Source organism: Homo sapiens, chromosome 9 (genome assembly GCF_000001405.40).
Source record: "Homo sapiens chromosome 9, GRCh38.p14 Primary Assembly".
NCBI lineage: Eukaryota > Metazoa > Chordata > Mammalia > Primates > Hominidae > Homo > Homo sapiens.
In genome coordinates, this window is record NC_000009.12 from 130,294,648 (window position 1) to 130,315,127 (window position 20,480).

Sequence of the window (20,480 nt, forward strand, 5' to 3'; positions counted from 1 at the left end):
GTCCTCCGAATGCCTCAATTCAGGCTTCACAGCTTGGAGCCTATGGAAGCCAGGAGGGTCACAATGTGTGAATTGGGCCTGGTGTTGGACATGGAGGAGTGGGGTGGCCTTGGGCGACCTGGAAAGTTTGTATGCTGCCTAAAATCCATGGGAGGGGGAAGACATTGTGGGCACCTGCCGGCATCAGCTCCTCATACTTGCCTCCAGGTGCTGAAGTGGGTGGAGTCAGCGATCCAGGCCTCCAAGGTGCACCTGCTGTCCACAGACCACGAGGAGGAGGGGGAGCACACATGGAGACTCCCCTTTGACCCCAGCCTGAAGGAGGTCACCATCTCATTGAGTGGGCCAGGGCCTGAGATTGAAGTCCAAGATCCGCTGGGTATGGACCACCCCGGGGCTGGCCTCCTCTTTGGCCCCAAGACTGAGGTGGAAGCCCAGGATGGGACAAAGAAAGAGACCAAGGGTGACAGGGCTTCAGACATGAGGCTCCAGGAATAGGGAAATATGGGGTGGGGGGGACACGAAGTGGAGAGAGGGCGCCCATGGTGTGCGAGGAAGCAGGAGGGCCATAGCAACCGGCGATGGGAATTAAAGTAATGGCGGTCCCTGCATCGTGAGACTCTCCCCAAGTCTTTTCCGTGGTACCCCAGTGGATTCTCATGGTGGTGAGAACTTGTAGCATATTGTACAGATGGGAAGCTGGGGTTCCAGGTGCTGAGTGCTCATCAAGGTCAACAGAGTCAGGGGAAGTGTGATTCAGACATGGTCACCTGACCCCATGGTGTTCTGAGGATGTCATGAGCACCCAGGTCTAGAGGCCGGGCACACAGTCTGCCCCTGGGGATCCCTGAGGGTGGAGCGTGGAGTGAGGCAGTGGCCGAGGACCACCAAGACCCCTTGTCACTTCCGGGAAGACTGAGGCTAGTGTTTGGTGTACTGTGGATTCCTGGAGACATGCGGGGCTCCTGCCACCCCCAGCAAAGGGTTAGGGACTGAGCAGCCCTTGGGGCTTCCACAGGGAGGATCCTGCAGGAGGACGAGGGCCTCAACGTGCTTCTCAACATCCCTGACTCGGCCAAGGTCGTAGCCTTTAAGCCTGAGCATCCGGGGCTGTGGTCCATCAAGGTAGGGGCACTGGGTTGCAGGAGAAAGGTCGACTAGCTTTACTGGGCTGGAACCATCTTCCTCCTACTTGCCCTGGGGAGCCTGTGGCCTCGGGAAGCTGATGGCTAGAGTGTGGGTGGTGATGTGGTCGTATCAATAGAAGTAACGGGTCAAGGACAGAGAAAGGGCATTTTGCCTTGTACCAGTAGGAAGAAATAGAGTGGTTTGGGGTTACTTTGGGAACATTTAAGAAGGACTTGGAGAAATGACTTCAGGGTTCAGAGGTGCATAACCAAGCTGTGAAGAATGTGTAAAAGAAGCAACAGCAACTTTGGTGGGAGGGCTCAGTGGGGCAGGGCTGGCAGGAAGAGGAGGGCCCTGCTATAATCTACAGGGTGCTGGGAGCCAGGGACTGTGGGCCAGTTTGGCTCCCAACAGAGCATCCTGGGATGGGCAGGCTGCTGCCCTGGAAGAGTGGGGGCTCCTGCTGACCAGGCAAACATTTATTGAGCACCTTCTGCAGGCACTGTGCTAGGTGTTGCAGGTAAAGTGGCAGTACCACCTCCTGCCTTTCAAACTCTGAGCACCTCTGAGCCAAGAGCTGTAATGCCAATGGGGAGGGCAAGGCAGGGAGTTAGACATTCACGGGAACAGACAGGGCCTGCCGGGGCTGAGGCGAGCTGAGGGGCAACACAGCCTCAAGAGGGCTGCTCAGGTTTGGGTTGTAAGCTGGGGCTTCAGCTCCTTCATTTGGGGAGCATCGTGCTGGGCCCCTTGGGAGGAGGTAAGTTGCCCATGTGTCTACAAAAGCAGGAGGATTCCAGCTGCTGATGCAGGGCTGGGTCAGGTTGGTCACCTCCTGCCCTAAGCTGGAGTGCTGGGGTCCCATCCTCTGGTGATGTGAGACCTGGGCCTGCGCTAGGTCTATAGCAGTGGCCGCCATTCAGTGAGGATCACAGGCGTCAGCAACATTGACTTCCGAGCCGGCTTCTCCACTCAGCCCTTGCTGGACCTCAACCACACCCTCGAGTGGCCCTTGCAAGGTACAGTACCCCGACCCTACAGACAGTGCTGAGCTGCCTCTGAAGACCTGGGGCTTGGCTTTGGGAAGTAGGGGGGAGGTGTGGGGGGAATGCTTGGCTGTGTGTGACTGTGAAAGGGACCCTGCAGGAGGCCAAGTGGGACTGTGCTCCCAGACCACAGTGATGTAAACTGAGCTTCCAGGCCAGCATTCTTTCCACTAGCCCCAGCCCAAGTGACATTGTGACATTTACCTTTAGAACATCCTCCGTGCCTCCACAGTCAGTGTCCTGGAGGACACTTACACTGTGCCCTTTATTATTGAGTTCACACCTTCTTCTTTCTTTTTGTCAAAACATATCTGCCTAGAGTCCTACTTCTTCAGTTTTCCAGTGAACAGCAGGCTAGTTCAATGAAAGAACACATGCCAGTGAGTTGATGGCTTACCAAAAAGGAGAGCAGTGCCTTACTCCAAAGGAAGGAATGTCCTGGGGGACATTTGGGTGTCCCAAGACTGAGGAAGGTTGGAGGAGCCTGGGGGGGATATTGAGGGTGGAGGCACAGGCATCCAATTCGAAGCCACCCACCAGGGTCCGAGGATGCCTGCATGCCCGCTATGGTTCTGCTGGGAGAAGCCTGGGCACCGAGGCAGGTTTCTGGTGCGGGCTGCCTGAGCTCCACGCCAGAAAATACCATCTGGTGGCCAGATCAAAGGTCTCAATTTATAGTTGGGAAAATATAGTCCCTGCCATGGGGCCATTTGGAGACTTTTGCAGGGACCAGCTCAGCTCAGCTCCTCCTGGGAGGAGCCTGGATCAGGTCAGGCTGACTCTGGACCCTGAACAGTGACCAAAAATGGTGCAAGCCAGACCTTTAGTGCTTTCTTTCGAGTCTGTCTGCTCTAATGTTTGTTATTCTTGTCAGCCCTTGCCGGTTTTCCTGCCAGGACCAGGAGTCACATCTTGAAAGTGAAAAGGGGCTGCTTGCTCAGTTTGTTTGTTTTGCCGATAGCAGAAAGGGAAGAAGCAGGGAAACTTTGATTCTACTGTTAAGCCAGGAGAGCTAAGATATCCTATGTGTAGTGATGGCGCGGGGACTGAAAACTGGCCTGTCCCCAGTGGAAGTGGGTGCAGGAGGCCACATGCGACCCTGTTGGGTTTCTGCTCTTGATAAAGATGTATATCCAAGATAATTTTTTTTTGAGATGGAGTCTCACTCTGTCACCCAAGCTGGAGTGCAGTGGTGCGATCTCTGCTCACTCTAACCTCTGCCTCCTGGATTCAAGCAATTCTCTTGCTTCAGCCTCCCGAGCAGCTGGGATTATAGGTGCGCGCTACACACCTGGCTAATTTTTGTATTTTTAGTAGAGACAGGGTTTTGCCATGTTGGCCAGTTTGGTCTTGAACTCCTGACCTCAGGTGATCTGCCTGCCTCAGCCTCCCAAAGTGCTGGGATTACAGTCATGAGCCACCATGCCAGGCCAAGATAATTTTTTTTAAAGAGAAACATTTGGGAGGCCAAGGTAGGAGGATTGCTTGAGGCCAGGAGTTCAAGACCAGCCTGGACAACACAGCAAGACCCCATCTCTACAAAATTTAAAAAATTAGCCAGGTATAGTGGTGCATACCTGTAGTCTCAGCTACTCGGGAGGCTGAGGTGGGAGTATTGCTTGAGCCCAAGAGTTTGAGGCTGCAGTGAGCTGTGATTGCACTACTGCACTCCAGCCTGGATGACAGAAAATTTAAAAAGACATTATGAAATTGGAGTCCAGTTCTACCTCTTCTGGGATAGTGTGAAAAGTACCACATTTCCATCAAGACAGTAAAGAAAACCAAAGAAAACCTGAACACGGGGAGAGTCTGGTCAGAAGTTGGAGTCCCCAAACTTGGTGTTTGCTTTATCTGAGGCCATTCCCTGAAGCCTGTCTGATTATGGCCCACACCAGAGTTAATGGGGTGGGGGACAGTTCTACTCCATGGGACTCCAACTCAGTGCAGTCAGAGGGGATGCAGCCATTGGGAAGCCGTGGTTGGACGACTGTGGTGTTTCAGCACCACGGACAGTAGCAAGGTCCCTATCTACCTATCCCACCCCCAGCGTTGGTCAGCACCAGGGTAGGTAGGGAAGGAGGGACCAGGTAGGAAGGGCCAGGCAAGCAGGACCCCTGGGGTGTGGTTCGAGGGCCCCTACTTGAGGGGGATCACAGAGGCAGACACTGACGCCAGCACTTTGTTCTTCACCTTCCCTCTGCAGGAGTCCCCATCTCCCTGGTGATCAATTCCACGGGCCTGAAGGCACCCGGCCGCCTAGACTCGGTGGAGCTGGCACAAAGCTCAGGGAAGCCCCTCCTGACTCTGCCCACGAAGCCCCTCTCCAATGGCTCCACCCATCAGCTGTGGGGCGGGCCGCCCTTCCACACCCCCAAGGAGCGCTTCTACCTCAAGGTGAAGGGCAAGGACCATGAGGGAAACCCCCTCCTTCGTGTCTCTGGAGTGTCCTACAGTGGGGTGGCCCCAGGTGAGTGGTTGGCTCTTTTGTCTCCCAGGCCCCTGGCTCATTCAGAGTCCCATTTCATCCTGGAGCCTTCCCTGACTGGATTAGATTAAATTAGATTAGAAAGTGTTTGTTCATTAAGCTTCTATGGACAGCTATTCCCTATAAGGCATTATGTTAAATACTAAGATGCTCAGATGTGGCTCTCAGCTCAAGGATTTAGAACAAAGTCATCAAGTCAACTATCCATTCATCCATCTACCCATTCATCCATCCATCCACCCATTCATTCATGCACTGACCCATTCACTCACCCACCCATCCACCCACCCATTCATCCACTCATGCACCCACCCATCCACTCACCCATCCATCTACCCACTCATTCATCCACTCATCCACCCACCCATTCATGCATCCATTGACTCACCTATTCATCCATCCACCCACCCATTCACTCACCCATCCACCCACCCATCCACCCACCCATTCACTCACCTATCCATCTACCCACCCATTCATCCACTCATCCACCCATCCATTCATGCATGCATTGACTCACCTATTCATCCATCCACCCACCCATTCACTCACCCATCCACCCACCCATTCACTCACCCATCCATCTACCCACCCATTCATGCACTCATCCACCCACCCAATCATGCATCCATTGACTCACCTATTCATCCATCCACCCACCCGCTCACTCACCCACCCATCTACCCATTCATGCATCCATCCACTTACCCATTCATGCATCCATCCACTCACCCATTCATGCATCCACCCACCTACCCATCTATCCACTCACCCATCCACTCACCCATTTGCTTACCCATCCATCTACCCATTCATGCATCCATCCACTCACCCATTCATGCATCCACCCACCCATCCATCTATCCATTCATTCATCCACTCACCCATCCATCTACCCACCCATTCACTATTAATTCACCTATCTATCCATCTATTTATCCATCTATCCACCCATTCGTCCACCCACCTGTCCACCCACACATCCATCTACTCAGCATTCATTTTGAGTATCTACTATGTACCAGTCATGGTGCTAGGCACTGTAGACACAGCAGTGGGCAGGGCAGACATGGACTTTTGCTCTTCCATAATCACAATCACTGTCATAATCACAATCATCCGAGTCACCATTTGGACACTTTCCATGGGGCAGTCCTGGGCCAAGCTCCTGCCATGTGCTAGCTCACTGATGCTTACAGCTTTTCAGAGATGTGTCCCCACTTCATAGATAAGGAAACTGAGCCCACCCAGCTCACAGGGCTGCCGTGGGGGTGCCCAAGCTAATGCACACAACAAGACAGCATTTGGGTCCTCAGAGGCTGCACTCAGAATGTATCCATTTGTGGGCAAGGGCCCTCCAGTGTGGCAGCTGCTGTTACCGTTACATCATTGCAGGAACAGGTCACTTTGTCCTCCAATCTTTGGCCATGGTCTGTTGGTTCCCGTATGTGTGGCTTTTTGCTGGTTTCCTGTGTGTCCCTGAGGTCTCACCGTTCAGGCTGGAAGCTCCCAGGGAGAAGGGTGGATCTTTGGCCTTTCAGGTCTGCCCCTGGTCCTAACAGGGATGTCTAGGGCCACTGGCCATCTGGCTTCCTTGCTGGCTTCATTGCCTTTCTCCTGCCCACTGTCTCCCTCCCCTGGAGGTGGCCCGAGGGGAGCTTACAAAGGTGGATGTCATTAACATTCTAGTACTTCTTTGTGGGGGATCTCAGTGAGAGGCATCCTCCTCTGTCCACTTCAAATAAGGATGCAGGGAGGGGAAGAAGGGCCAGCTCTTGAGGCTGGCCACGGTGCCCATCGTGCCTACAGTGCCCATGGTTGGTGGAGGACTTTGAGGACCTGGGTGGGGCAAGGCAGGGCTGGGCAGGAGAGCTGGAGACCTCTTCTTTCCAGCCTCCCAGCTTCCACTCCCCTACTGTGGTTCCGGGGCCTCTCTTCCCTTGGCCTTTGCAGCCTTGAGGAGGAACTTTCAGGAAGGAATTTCAGCAGAGGGAATAACAGCCTCTATTTTCTTTCCCCTGTTCTTTCAGATGGATCCAAGAGTTTGGAGTTTAGCTCTGGCTTTTGTTCTCTATCTCAGCTCTAGATTAAAGTTGGGGAAGGGATTTGGTTTGGATTTTTGCTTCCTTCCCCGCCCTCCAGGTCTGGGAGGCTGGAATTTCGCCTTGTAGCAGGTGGCTCTGGGTTTGGAGAGATGAGGGTGGGCCTGTGGTCCCATTTAGCTCATGGAAATGGGGAGCCCAAACTGGCTTGGCAGAGGCTCCCAGGGTGCGTGGGTGAGTGGCGACTGCTTTGCACACAGCCGAGGACGTGGCTGGATGGTCAGACACCCCTCCCCCCCCGGGACAGATGTGGCAGGGAGCCTGGAGCATGATGTCACCGCCGCCTTCCCATCCCCAGCCTGGGCTCCGAGGAGGTCTAGTGCATTGTCTCATTCCCGGAGCATCTCTGCTGGGCTCCTCTGCTGGCGGGGATGGGGAGACGGTGACACAAAGGTTGAGCCCTTGCCAGGGGGCACCCAGCTCTGATGGGCCATGGCTGACCCAGCGGGGCAGTTTCTCAGACTTCTCCATTGAAGTAATTCCAATAGCCAAGGGAAGAGACTGTGTCACTCCAAGACCAGGCTCGGGCCAGGGAGGGGTCCCATGGGGCTCATTACAAGCTATGAGATTTTACTGAAGTCTCTGGTTTTATCTCAAAAATGTGTGTGAATTTTGCATTTATACCCATCCTCTAGCTGTGCTTTTTTTTTTGAGATGAAGTCTTGCTCTGTAGCCCAGGCTGGAGTGTAGTGGTGTGATCTTGGCTCACTGCAGTCTCCGCCTCCCGGATCCCAGTTCAAGCAATTCTCCTGCCTCAGCCTCCTGAGTAGCTGGGATTACAGGAACGCGACACCACGCCCAGCTAAGTTTTGTATTTTTAGTAGAGACAGGGTTTCACCATGTTGGCCAGGCTGGTCTTGAACTCCTGACCTCATGATCTGCCCACCTCCGCCTCCCAAAGTGCTGGGATTACAGGCGTGAGCCATCGCGCCTGGACTGGTGGGCTCATTTTTAAATGAAAAGGCTTCTTTCTAACAAATTTCGATAAAACTGATGTTCTAGGCGGAGAAGCAATTGCACAAACCCACCCATACCCCTGGGGAGCCTAATCCTAGTTGGTAGCATTTCATCAGATTTCATACAGTTGAGACAGTGTAGTGGAAGGGCCTGGTCCAGGCTGGCCAACCTTGAATTGAATAGTCTAATAAACCACAAAAGCCCCAGGAGCTGTGCCTAGGGGAGCTGGTGATGCCACACACATTGTGCCATGAGTTCCCCATGTACCACTTCTCACCAGCTCCTCCAGCTCCTCAGGACAACAGGACGAGGATGGTACCATGATCACCCCATTTTGCAGAGGTGAAAACTGAGCTTAGAGAGGTGACCAGGGGAGCCAGGGGTTGAATCCTGGCCTCCTGGCTGCTGGTGCATCCCTACAGGTCTCTGTGTCACTGGGTGTGGCAAAGGGGCGGTGGGGAGACATTCTGAGTCCTGGTCCCCGCCTACAGGCGCTCCCCTCGTCAGCATGGCCCCCAGGATCCATGGCTACCTGCACCAGCCCCTGCTGGTCTCCTGCTCGGTGCACAGTGCCCTTCCCTTCCGGCTGCAGCTGCGGCGAGGTGAAGCCAGGCTGGGCGAAGAGAGGCACTTTCAGTGAGTGGCCCACGGCAGCTGATTGTCCCCAGCCACAGGGCTCCTGGCTGCTGAGGCCCTGGAGGGATCTCAGGGGAGTGGGTGGCAGGAGAGAGACCTTGGTCTCTGTCATTATCCTCCTGGGCAGCCCAGCCTGGGACTTCCAGTGCAGCCAGGGATGGAGAGGAGTTTTTCCGAGACTCCCACCACTGCTGGGCCATCAGCTGGTGAAGGAGCCGGGGGCCTTCCTCAGCTCCTGGAAAACTCAACCCATGTGTCAGGGCAGGAAGGATGGGAGCCCAGGACTCAGAGAGAGGAAGGGCCTGACTCCAAGTCACACAGCATGTCATGGAATTTCCATGTGCTTGGCTGTGTATGTCTTCTTACCGCATCTCACAGAGGAATTGGGGTCTCTCGTTTGGGCAGGATTCAGGGGACTGAAGTCGGGGGGGACCCTGAGTGGGGGTCAGTGTGATTGTGTGTCTCCCACTGTTCCCTGTTTGCAGGGAGTCGGGAAACAGCAGCTGGGAGATCCTGCGGGCCTCCAAGGCCGAGGAGGGCACGTACGAGTGCACAGCCGTCAGCAGGGCTGGGACCGGGCGAGCAAAGGCCCAGATTGTTGTCACAGGTCTGTCCCTTGGGGCCCCTCCATGTACCCCTTCCTTACCCTCTTCTTGGGTTCTTACCCCTAGGATTTCCTCCAGGCGAGTCTCCAGCCAGCTGCTGGGACAATTCGTCATGCCGGGTCTGGCTGCCCAGGCTGCCACCTGCCTGCTGCCCCTCATGTGGGGCCGTCTCACCCAGGAACGGCCTGTGGGTCTCCGCTGGAGGAAGGCTGAGGACCTGGCTTGGGTCTTCCTGCCCTGCCCAGCTTTGATCCCAACTCTGACTTCTCGGGGCTCGGCTTTCAGGGGCCGCCATCCATCTCGTGGTCGGGACAACCTTCGTGCCTCCAAGTCCCGGCCAGGATGGCGCCATCGAGCTGGGGAGGTTGGATACACCACAGACTGTCTCCAAATGAAATTGGCTTTATTTGAAAAATTACGAACGCAAGCTGCTTTGTAGAGAAAAAAAGGAACCCGTAAGCGTGGAAAGATCAGCCACTCTACATAGACAGCCAGAAACTACACATGCTCTTTGTAGGAAAGCTGGAAAAATATAAACAACCCAAGAGAAGATCAAAATAACTTGTAATCCCTCCATTCTGCCATTTGATTTACTCCCTTTTAGGTTTTTTTCTATGTTCAGCAGTCTCTGATCTTGCCACTTCTTGTGGCTTTTTGCTATCCAGATAGCAGTTTGCTTAGCGCTTTCCTCCTTGGGGGCATATTTGGCTGCTATAAATAGCCCTGCTGTTGGTACAGAGAATCGTTTTGAACACATTACTCTCTTCCTCTGGCTGGAGACTTCCAAGGCTTTATTCCTCAGCGTGGCATCTTCAGCTCGGAGGCATGAAGATGGGTGTCCGGCTTGTTGCACATTGCACTGGCTGTATTTTGGAGAGCAGGCGTGTACCGTGCAGCCCCTGGCAGGTGTATAATGGTGGTGGGAGAAGTGACCTCCCACAGGGGTGATGCCTGATGGTGAGCAGATGCTGGTCACCCTATGCTGCTAGCTGACATGTCCTGAATGATCTGGTTCGGGTGGGCCTGCACCTCAGGGTGGGGTTCTGGGCAGCACCAGGGCTTGCACGATGACCCCCTCCCTTGCCTCAGCTCCTTGGTTCCTCCTGTGCTCATGTCCCTGCAGACCCCCCGCCGCAGCTGGTCCCTGCTCCCAACGTGACCGTGTCCCCAGGGGAGACTGCCGTCCTATCCTGCCGGGTCCTAGGCGAGGCCCCCTACAACCTGACGTGGGTCCGGGACTGGCGAGTCCTGCCGGCCTCGACGGGCCGAGTTGCCCAGCTGGCTGACCTGTCCCTGGAGATCAGTGGCATCATCCCCACAGACGGCGGGAGGTACCAGTGTGTGGCCAGCAATGCCAATGGGGTCACAAGGGCATCCGTCTGGCTCCTGGTGCGAGGTGAGGCTCATCCTGCTGCTGCTGTTCCCCTAATTCAACACGTGACCTGGTGTTTACCCCAGAAGCCGCGAGTCCTTCCCTCTGCTCAGACATTGTCTCTGGCAGGCAATAGCAGCCTTTTCAGTGTTTTTTGAACTTTCAGGGAGAGAGAATACTGTAGCCTCCTAGCCAAAGTCTAATGGCTCTCACTGCTGGGAAGTTCCTCCTAATATCTAACTTAAATTTCTACTGCTGTACGCCAAGCCAATTTCAATTGTGTCTTGTCCTTTTTCCGTGCCATCGAGCCCCTCCATTGTTCCCCACTCCCCACTGCACCCTGCCCAATAGGTAGGGCAGGGACTGAATACTGGAACCTTGGGGAAGCTCAGAGGTCAGATGTATTTGGCAGAGATCGGGCAGCACTGACTAGATGGGGGTGGAGGAGGCAGTGCCAAGAGCACCCATCTGGGAGTTTTAAGAACCCAGAATCTGGACAGAGCCTCCTCCCCAAGTGTAAAAACAAGCATGTTGAACAAGCATTCTCTCTTGTGCCAGCGGCTCTTGAGTGGCTGCCAGAGTGTGTTGGGCAGGATTCTGAGGCTATGTCTAGGCTCTGCAGGAAGGAGGGAATCCACCAGCTGTGTCTGCCTCCAGTGTGGGAGGGCTGTGGTTGCTGTTTCTGGATGCGCGGGCCTGTGAGCTCTTTTGAGTCTGACCAGCCTGTTGTTCTTAGTTTCCAAATGGCCAGGTTAGAACCTAAGCTTGGGGCCAATAGTAGGGCAGGCCTTGGGGTCAACCTCAAGGTCACTGGAGACAGGAGCCGTCCCCAGCCCTGGTAGCTGCCTGACATCTCCCTAAGGCTCCCTAGAGCGCTCAGCCTGGAGTGGACGTTCTAGGAGCACAGGGCTCCGGGTTGGGATTGTTGGAAAATCAGCCTCCATGTTGCCTGGGGATGTGCTCAGGGGCCGCCTGGTCTACCCAATTCCCAGAGAAGCCACACCCGGGAGATTGAAGCCCTCTGGGGTCTTTGCTTTCTCTGTCTTGCCCATCTGTGACTATGGGAGGGGAAGAGCCCGGGGCGGGGTGCCTGGGATGGCACGGCTGCTCTGATGGGCTCATCCTCGCCTATCCACTTTTTGGGTCACAGAGGCCCCACAGGTCAGCATCCACACCAGCTCCCAGCACTTCTCCCAAGGTGTGGAGGTGAAGGTCAGCTGCTCAGCCTCTGGATACCCCACACCCCACATCTCCTGGAGCCGTGAGAGCCAAGCCCTACAAGAGGACAGCAGGTGAGGGGCCCAGGACACAAATCTCAGGGACTCACAGCAGGTGGACAGGACTCCCAGGGGACCTCTCTGGGCCTTGGCCTTCCTATCTGTAAATGGGGAAGAGAATTTGCCTTCCTTGCTCCTGGGATCATTTGAGACTCCAGAGTGAGATCACTTTGGAAACATAAGAATGCCACAGTGTGGGCTCAGCGCTCAGGAGCTCAGGCTGTATGGACCTGCGCCCAAATCCCGCCCCCACCATTCAGGCTGTGTGGACCTGTGCCTGAGTCCCGTCCCCACCATTCAGGCTGTGCCGACCTACGCCCAAATCCCGCCCCCAAATCCCACCCCCCACCATTCAGGCTGTGTGACCTTGGGCAAGTCATCTTACCTCTCTGAGCCTCGAGAATTAAATTTACATAAAGTGCTTAGCACAGGCCTAGAGCAAGCCATCAGTACAGAATGGTCGTCGCTAGTGGCATTGTTAGTGAATTTGTTATTAATGATGATTGTGGATCAACCCCTTTTGTGACCCGATGTGTTTCTATGGCATGATTCTAGAATCCATGTGGACGCACAGGGAACCCTGATTATTCAGGGGGTAGCCCCAGAGGATGCTGGGAATTACAGCTGCCAGGCGACTAATGAGGTTGGCACTGACCAGGAGACGGTCACCCTCTACTACACAGGTACCCAGGCCACAAGCATCACCTTACAGGAGAAGGGCCTCCTTCCCTCCCTCCTCCCTCCCTCCCATCCATCAGTATTTATGGAGCATTTACCTGTCACGCACCGGGGACACGGCAGTGAACACATGGTCCCTGTCTGGGTGGAGCTTATATTCTAAGGAGAAGGCACACACAGGCCAATGGGATGCTTCCCAATGCTGAAGGTGCTGCAAAGAACTGGGAGCCTCCTGGTGCGAGGGAGGGACGTGTGCTGGGGGCGAGGGAGAAGCGGCTGTCATGCCCAGGACTCGGTCATGACCTCTGTGAGGCAGTGACCCTTGCCTTAGGGTCACTATGGGAACAGGGTCATAGGTGGAGGGACCGGGAGGGGGCATTGAACCTGGGGTGCTCCAGGGGCAGCAAGGAGGCCGGTGTGGTGAGTTGGGATGAGGGAGAGGGCTCCCTGAAGCCGTGGAAGACTTTCTTTATGACCTTTGAAGGTTGGTCCCAAATTCTGCATCTCTTCCCCACACAGACCCACCGTCGGTCTCTGCTGTAAATGCCGTGGTGCTGGTGGCCGTTGGGGAGGAGGCTGTGTTGGTGTGTGAGGCATCTGGGGTTCCCCCGCCCCGAGTCATCTGGTATCGAGGTGTGTTGGTGGGGAGGGGCCCTGAAGGAACAGCTTTCCAGAAAGCAAGGTGTTGAGGGGAGGTGGGGGTGTCCTGAATGTGGAGTCTGGGGAGAGCTGGAAGGTTCTGCTCCCCGCCGCCCTGACCCCCAGCCAGTGTCAGAGCTGGTGGGTTCCAGCTCCCCCACCCTCACCCCCAGCCTGTGTTGACACAGCTCATGTAGGTATTCAGAGCAGCACTGAGCCAGGCCCAGATTTGAATTCCGGCTTCCCTGGGTGACCCTGGGCACGTGACTTGGCATCTCTGAGCCTCAGTTTCCTTATCTGGAAAATCAAAGATAGGTTGGTTGCGTGAAGATTAAATGAGTTCCTATGCACATATGGTTTTATTTTTTATTTTTTTGTTTTATTTATTGTTTGATTTTTTTGAGACAAGAGTCTCACTTTGTCACCCAGGCTGGTGTGCAGTGGTGTAATCTCGGCTCACTGCAGCCTCCACCTCCTGGGTTCAAGGGATTCTCGTGCCTCAGCCTCTGGAGTAGCTGGAATTATAGGCGTGTACCACCAGGCCTGGCTCATTTTTGTATTTTTAGTAGAGATGGGGTTTTACCATGTTGGACAGGCTAGTCTGGAACTCCTGACCTCAGGTGACCCACTCGCCTCGGCTTCCCAAAGTGCTGGGATGACAGGCGTGAGCCACTGTGCCTGGCCATATGTGCAAAGGTTTTAGAACAAGCTTGGCACATGTGCTGTGCTTGGCATTCTTAGTGATAGTGCCGACGATAATGTGATTATCTGAAAATGACAGCAATAATGACAGGGTTGTCCTGAGGCCCTGAGGTCATGGGCAGAGCGTTTTCACGGTGCCTGCTGCCAGGCTGGAGTTTGACGGACGGGTGCTGGGGTCGCACTAGGTCTTTCTGGGAGCAGTACGCTGGGCTCCCTCTCGAGGGTCAACCGGGGTCAGCAATACTGTCCCCTCCCATTCCTTGCAGCAGCTGCCTGGGACCTCATCAGAGCCTCACCCTGACTCTGAGAAAGGCAGGGCAGGTGATATTAGCTCAGAGTTGAGCGTTTTTTTTAGGGTCACCAGCAAGTGGGTGGCACAGGCTTCTGGACTCCTTCCTCACTGCATATTCTGGCCAAGAACCCCGTCAACCCAGCCCTAGAGCCCCACTTTAAAAGGTGGCCTTGCCATGAAATATTCTTCCATCTTCAGAAGGAAGGAGATTCTGACACGTGCTACATGGATGTCCTGCTAGGTGGACGCTATTCTAGGTGAAGTCAGCCAGACACAAAAAGACAAATACTCTCTGATCCCACTTATGTGAGTTACCTAGAGATGTCAAATTCATAGAGACGAAAAGATGGAGTGGTGTTCGCCAGGGACTGGGGAGAGGAGAACACCAGGAGTTAGTGTTGAATAGGTATGGAGTTTCTGTTTGGGGAGATGCAAACAGTTCTGTGGAGGCCAGTGATGGCCACACAACAGTGTGAATGCACTGGATGCCACTGAGCTGGCTGCACACCTAAAAGTGGTTCAGATCGTCAATCTTATGTTATGCATATTTAACTACAATAAATAAAATAAAAATTAAATTAAATTTAAAAGGGCGGTTAGAATCAGGTGTGTCCATCAGGCCTCAGGGGCGGAGAGAAGTCAGGCAAGAAAAATGGCGGGCTGGGGGGCAGGCGTGGTGACTCACGCCTGTAATCCCAACACTTTGGGAGCCCGAGGTGGGCAGATCACCTGAGGTCAGGAGGTCGAGACCAGCCTGGCCAACATGGTGAAACCCTGTCTCCACCAAAAATATAAAAAATTAGCTGAGTGTGGTGGTGTGTGCCTATAATCCCAGATACTTGGTAGGCTGAAGTAGGATAATCGCTTGAACCTGGGAGGTAGAGGTTGCAGTGAGCCAAGATCATGCCACAGCACTCCAGCCTAGGCAACAGAGGAAGACTCTGTCTCAAAAAAAAAAAAAAAAAAAAAAAGGAAAAAAAAGAAAAATGATGGCGGGCTCAGGGCTCCCCAGAGCCCTCCCAGAGCTGACCCAGATCTCAGCCTGGACCTGGGGTGGAGGAGTGGACACCAGCGGGGGGGGTCCAAACATGGAGTTCTTGGATGATGAGCCTTGTCATGCAGAGCCTGGCTTAGCCCCAACCCTGTTCAACAGAGGGAAGGCCCAAGCCCCCTGCAGGACTGGACCCAGGGGTCCTGACCTTGGGGCTTAAACCTGCTTCCACCCACCATCTCCCAGGCCCCAACCTTGTGCAGCCGCAGGAGCCAAGGGTCAGGCTCCCACCTCCCACCCTGGCCTCCATGGTACCAGGGACACCGGCCTGATGCTTCTTCCTCTTTGGTCCAGGGGGTCTTGAAATGATCCTGGCCCCTGAGGGCTCCAGCTCTGGGAAGCTGCGGATCCCGGCGGCTCAGGAGAGGGATGCTGGCACCTACACCTGCCGGGCTGTCAATGAGTTGGGTGACGCCTCTGCAGAAATCCAGCTGGCGGTTGGACGTGAGTGTATACCTTGTCTCCCCCTCCCCTGCCCATTCCCCTTTCCCAGCCCTCTGCCTGCTTCTGAGTAGGGAGGGGAAGCTCTCTCACACAAGTGGCCAGTGTAGATGGCATCATGTGGATCCTGAGCATGTGGGGACAGGGGAAGTCCAGGGGAGGCGGTGCATGCATCAGCTCTTGCTGGGTAACAAATAGCCCCCAAATTGTGTGGCTTAAACAATAAGTATTTATTTCACAGTCTGAGGATCAAGAATCTGAAAGTGGCTTGGCCGGGTGATTCTGGCTCAGGGTCCATCCTGAGATTGAAATCAATATCTTGGCTAGGGCCGCAGTCATCTCAAGGTTTGCCTGGGCCTAGGGGATCCACTCTAGGCTCACTCGTGGGGCTGTTGGCAGGAGGCTCCCAGAGAAAGAGAGAGAGAGACAATCTCAGAGGGAAGCCACAGTCTTGGAAGTAACAAGCCATCGCTTCTGCCCTATTCTTTTGGTCCCACAGAGCAACCCTGGTGCAGTGTGTGTGGGAGGGGCTACCCAGGGATGTGAACACCAGGAGGCGGGGGCTACCCATGGGTGTGAACACCAGGAGGCGGGGGCTACCCATGGGTGTGAACACGAGGAGGTGGGGGCTACCCATGGGTGTGAACACGAGGAGGCGGGGATCTCTGGGACCAGCTTGGAGGCCCACCGCAGACAGTTTGGTTCAGCTCGGGATGAGAATTCCAGTCTCGTCTCTGTCCCCACCTATATGCCTTGGTCATGCCATGGAGCCTCAGTTTCTCTCAGTTTCCCATGTGTAAAGTGAGGCTGACTGTACTACTCCCCTCCTTGGGTTGCTGTGAGGATTCAGTGAAATCAGGCCTGTTAGCACAGGGTTGGGCCCATAGTGATTGCTTAGTAAATGCGGGGAGAGGGGTGATCATTCACTTGCTGCAGATGTGGAGTCCAAATTCCTTGGTGGCCAGTGCATGGCCTCAGCTGTGACTTCCGGGATGTCTCCATCCCATATTGGAGTTCCTGGCACTGGGACTTGCTCGGAAGCTGTGGGCACAGCTCCTTGGCACACAGAGCTGGGACAGATCAGGCTCTGAGTGTTTGCCGAGGCCACGGCGAGAGAGGCAGGTGCTAGAGTTCTAGGGAAGCGCAGAGAATCGAGAATGTGCTGGTCTGGGCTGAATGGGCCAGGCTGGGCCAGGGCTGGCTGGGGCAGCCGAGGAGCTCCCAAGGCGGGCCAGGCTCTGACTGGAGTAGGCATAGATAGGAGGGTCTGGCCTGGGGGGGTTGTGCTGTCTCAGGGTTGAGATCCTCTCAGGCTTGGGGTGCTCTTAGCCTTCGTTCACTTGTTCCGTCTTTCATTCCTTCAACACAGGGTCACCAGGTGCTCGTGTGCCAGGCCCTGTGCTGGGGACACAGGGCAGGTGAGACACAGCATCAACCTTTGTGTTGCTCATGAGCTCAGGCAGAGAGAACAGAGGACAGGGAATGAGCATGCACAGGGCACCGAGTGGCTGGAAGGTGCATCCTCAGGGGCTGTGGGTGCCCAGAGAAGGCTAATCCCAGGAAGACTTCTTGGAGGAGGTGATGTCTAAACTGAAACCAGAAGCACCCAGAAAGATGACGAGCTGGGGAACAGTGTTCCAGACAAAGGGAATAGCACGTGCAGCCCTCCCCGTGACAAGAGAAGTGAGGCAGAGAGAGGGTGGGGAGGGGGCAGCAGGACGGCTGCCACCTGGTACCAGTCACTCCCCGCCTGGGGAGCTGCGGAGGAGTTTGGGCTGTGCCCTGAGGGGGTTGGTGAGAGGTTTTCAGGAGGAGGGTCGTGTGCTCAGACTTTTCCACTGTGGCTGGGTTCTCAGGTAGGCTGGGCTGGGCCATGGGCTCAGGAGCCTGATAAGGACAGCCACGGAAACACGAGCCGGCGCTTCTAGGGTGTTTGCCAGGTGCTGGCACCAGCTCAGAGCACATTTTGTTGCTGGCTCATGTAACCCTCACAACAACCCTTGGAGATGGAACGATCATCATCCCCTTTACAGATAGGGAAAACAAGGCACAGAGAGGTTTCATGTCTTGCCCAAGATCACACAGCTGGCGAGTGGCAGAGGTGGGATCTGAACCAAGGGTCTTGCACCTATAGCCCCTGGCCTTGAGTCTGATGCTCACCAGCAGAGTGGGCCTGGCGCTGCTTACGTCTGCAAGCCTTGGGCTCCTCATTGCCAAAATGAGACGTTGTGTGAGCAAGAGAGAAGGAAGGTCTGTGGCACGTGAGCTGTGATCCAGCTGCTGACACTGGTATTAGAGGTTCTGGGTGAGCAGATAGGGTGCTCCAGGGAGGGTGTACCTTGTGTTGTGATGGGCATTGTCATCCTTTGCTCAGCATCTGACTTATTTGAAGCAGACCCATATTTATTTATTTATTTCCTTTCTTTCTCTCTCTCTCTTTCTTTCTGTCCCTCCCTCCCTCCCTCCCTCCCTCCCTCCCTCCTTTCTTTCTTTCTTTCTTTCTTTCTTTCTTTCTTTCTTTCTTTCTTTCTTTCTTTCTTTCTTTCTTTCTTTCTTTCTCTGTCTCTCTCTTTCTTTCCCTTCCTCCCTCCCTCCCTTCCTTTCTTTCTTTCTTTCCTTCTTTCTTTTATGGAGTCTCGCTCTGTTGCCCAGGCTGGAGTGCCCAGGCGCAATCTCGGCTCACTGCAACCTCTACCTCCTAGGTTCAAGTGATTCTCCCACCTCAGCCTCCTGAGTAGCTGGGATTAGAGGCGTGCGTCACCATGCCCAGCTAATTTTTGTAATTTTAGTAGAGATGGGGTTTCACCATGTTGTTCAGGCTGAACTCCTGACCTCAGGTGATCTACCCGCCTCGGCCTCCCAAAGTGCTGGGATTATAGGCATGAGCCACTGTGCCTGGCCCAGAGTCTCATTTCTTTGGGATCCAGGCTGAGTGTCCACCTAGACCTGTTCCTTCGCCTGTCTGCTGTTGACCTTGGAGCCATGTCCCTGTGGCAGAGTTTCTTTCTGGGCCACTGGTGGCCTCTGGCCTTAACTTTAGGTCAGGGAAGGGATGGACAATGGCCCAGCACCTGTGGGTCTGGGGTGAGCTGGTCTGGCAGCGGTGGTGGGAAATGGAATTTCCTGCCTATCTGGGTGGCAGCTGTCGTCCAGCCTTCCTGGCCAGACTGGCAGAGGTCAGGAATGGGTGTGTACTGTGCCCGCTTCCTGCTGTTGAGCTGAGAGCTGGCTTCCTGGTAGTGTCTGGGGCATAGGAAGGGAGGCATCCTACTCCTCTGTGCCAGGAGGGCCTGCACTTGTGGACCAGCCTGCGAGGCACTGGTGGATTACCTTCCGAGCCTGGCATCTGCCAGTCAGGAGTCCTAGGCTCCATGCCCAGGTCCGCTGGTATTTGCCTGCATTATTTGCCTCTCGGAGCCTCACTTTCCTCGTCTGTGAAACGAGGAGGGTGGTAGCAGAGCTGTGCTCATAGGGCCCTCGAGAGGTTTCCTGAGAATGTGCTTCACTTAGGGCTTGCGTGGAATAAATAATGCATGTGGGCACCCCCCCCCATAAACCTGTGTCCAGGCTGGGTGAGCTGACCAGCGCTCGGTGAGGTGGGGCGACTCGTCACATGGCTGGTTGCCTGACTGTGTGTGGCAACCCCTCCTGAGTTCAGTGCCCTGAGCTGTGGTCTGTGCTTTACTTCATTCCTCTCTAAATGAATGTGTGTCCTCTTTTTTTTTTTTTTTTTTTTTTTGAGATGGAGTCCTATTCTGTCACCCAGACTGTAGTGCAGTGGCACGATCTTGGCTCACTGTAACCTCTGCCTCCCGGGTGCAAGTGATCCTCTTGCCTCAGCCTCCCAAGTAGCTGGGATTACAGACACGCACCACCATTCCCGGCTGATTTTTGTATTTTTTGTAGAGATAGAGTTTCTCCATGTTGGCCAGGCTGGTCTCGAACTCCCGACCTCAGATGATCCACCTACCTTGGGCTCCCAAAGTGCTGGGATTACAGGCATGAGCCAGTGCTCCCAGACTAAATGGATATGCCTCCTCTTTCTGTCCTCTCATTTCAGTCCCTGCTTCTTAGTCCCATCCTGGAAGCTCCTGGTTGCCGGGGGCCGAGCTGGGGAACAGGAGATGTGCTGTTTTGGACACTAAAGACTCTCCGGCCATCCTTTGGGGAGGGGAGTTGGGGAGAAATGGGCTGGGCTCTGTGGCGAGGGGGCCATGGCGAGGCGACTTCTCCATCAGGCATAGCAGGCACTGGCAGAAGGCCCTGCACTTGTAGGGGTCCAGGATGCTTTTCTAATTTTGATTTCTTTTAAAATCAGAATTAAAAAATGACCAATAGTGAATAGATAAAGACTAATCCAGCCTGCATCATTCATGTCTTTGTGCCAGTGCAGTTATGAAATATAATTTTCCATGTTTCTTTATGGAGGAAGAGGAGTAAAGGCATCTTGTGGCCCTGACCAGCAGAGCTGCCACCCTAGGCCCAATCGCAGCATTCCCTCTGTGGGAAAAGTGGTCCCCGAGTCCTCAGGAAAGGGGGCTGTGGAGACCCCTCCCCGGGGTCCACTTTGCCCATCTGCACAGTCTTCCATCCTGAGACTCCTCCCTCCTCCTGGCAAACTGAGTCTCAGGGGGCTCTTCTGGAGCTGGCTGCAACCCCCAGCCCTGCCCCCGTGCTCTGAGCCACAGCCCTGGGTGGGAGGCAGAGGCTGGGGTGTGGACTCTCCAGGCAGTGATAAGGAGTCCTAGAGCTGTAAGGTACCAGGACCAAGGTGAAAATAGAGTTACCGCCTTCCAGATGGATAAACTGAGGCCCAGAGTGAGGATGGGACTCATTCCTGCATGCCCAGTGAGGCAGAGGCAGAGTGGGGGCCTTCAGGCCAGTGTCCCTTTCGCTGGGGGAGCAGCAGGCGCAGGGGAGTCACCACCTCTGTCATCTGACTTCACCAGGGCCTTTCCCTTGGAAAATCCCTGGGAGGGGAGCGTGGCCTGACCAGCTGGGTCTGTGCTCTCACCCTCAGCAGCTCTGAGAGCGCCTCCTGCAGGGGGTCAGCAGCCTCACCTGCAAGC

The 20,480-nt window shown here is 54.8% G+C and overlaps 1 protein-coding gene across 7 annotated transcripts in view, besides 2 other annotated features; it reads left to right on the top strand.

Annotated features, from left to right (window-relative positions):
* Positions 1 to 20,480, top strand: part of HMCN2 (hemicentin 2) — a 168,364-nt gene that overhangs the window by 28,888 nt on the left and 118,996 nt on the right. For all 7 annotated transcript variants that reach the window (NM_001291815.2, XM_011518466.3, XM_011518465.3 and 4 more), the window contains exons 5-15: positions 208 to 379; positions 1,019 to 1,125; positions 2,027 to 2,147; positions 4,378 to 4,641; positions 8,210 to 8,354; positions 8,840 to 8,961; positions 10,083 to 10,355; positions 11,482 to 11,623; positions 12,164 to 12,291; positions 12,806 to 12,919; positions 15,265 to 15,414. In NM_001291815.2, coding sequence (NP_001278744.1) covers positions 208 to 379; positions 1,019 to 1,125; positions 2,027 to 2,147; positions 4,378 to 4,641; positions 8,210 to 8,354; positions 8,840 to 8,961; positions 10,083 to 10,355; positions 11,482 to 11,623; positions 12,164 to 12,291; positions 12,806 to 12,919; positions 15,265 to 15,414 — 1,738 coding nt within the window. The remainder of the gene's footprint in view (positions 1 to 207; positions 380 to 1,018; positions 1,126 to 2,026; positions 2,148 to 4,377; positions 4,642 to 8,209; positions 8,355 to 8,839; positions 8,962 to 10,082; positions 10,356 to 11,481; positions 11,624 to 12,163; positions 12,292 to 12,805; positions 12,920 to 15,264; positions 15,415 to 20,480) is intronic.
* Positions 6,731 to 7,533: an enhancer, noted in NCBI's record as "H3K4me1 hESC enhancer chr9:133063657-133064459 (GRCh37/hg19 assembly coordinates)". NCBI's record gives its function as "activates a minimal SCP1, AML or CMV promoter by ChIP-STARR-seq in naive H9 embryonic stem cells {active_cell/tissue: H9 hESC(naive)}" and the evidence as "EXISTENCE:reporter gene assay evidence [ECO:0000049][PMID:30033119]".
* Positions 20,241 to 20,410: an enhancer, noted in NCBI's record as "active region_29152". NCBI's record gives its function as "activates an Ori minimal core promoter by ATAC-STARR-seq in GM12878 lymphoblastoid cells {active_cell/tissue: GM12878}" and the evidence as "EXISTENCE:reporter gene assay evidence [ECO:0000049][PMID:35858748]".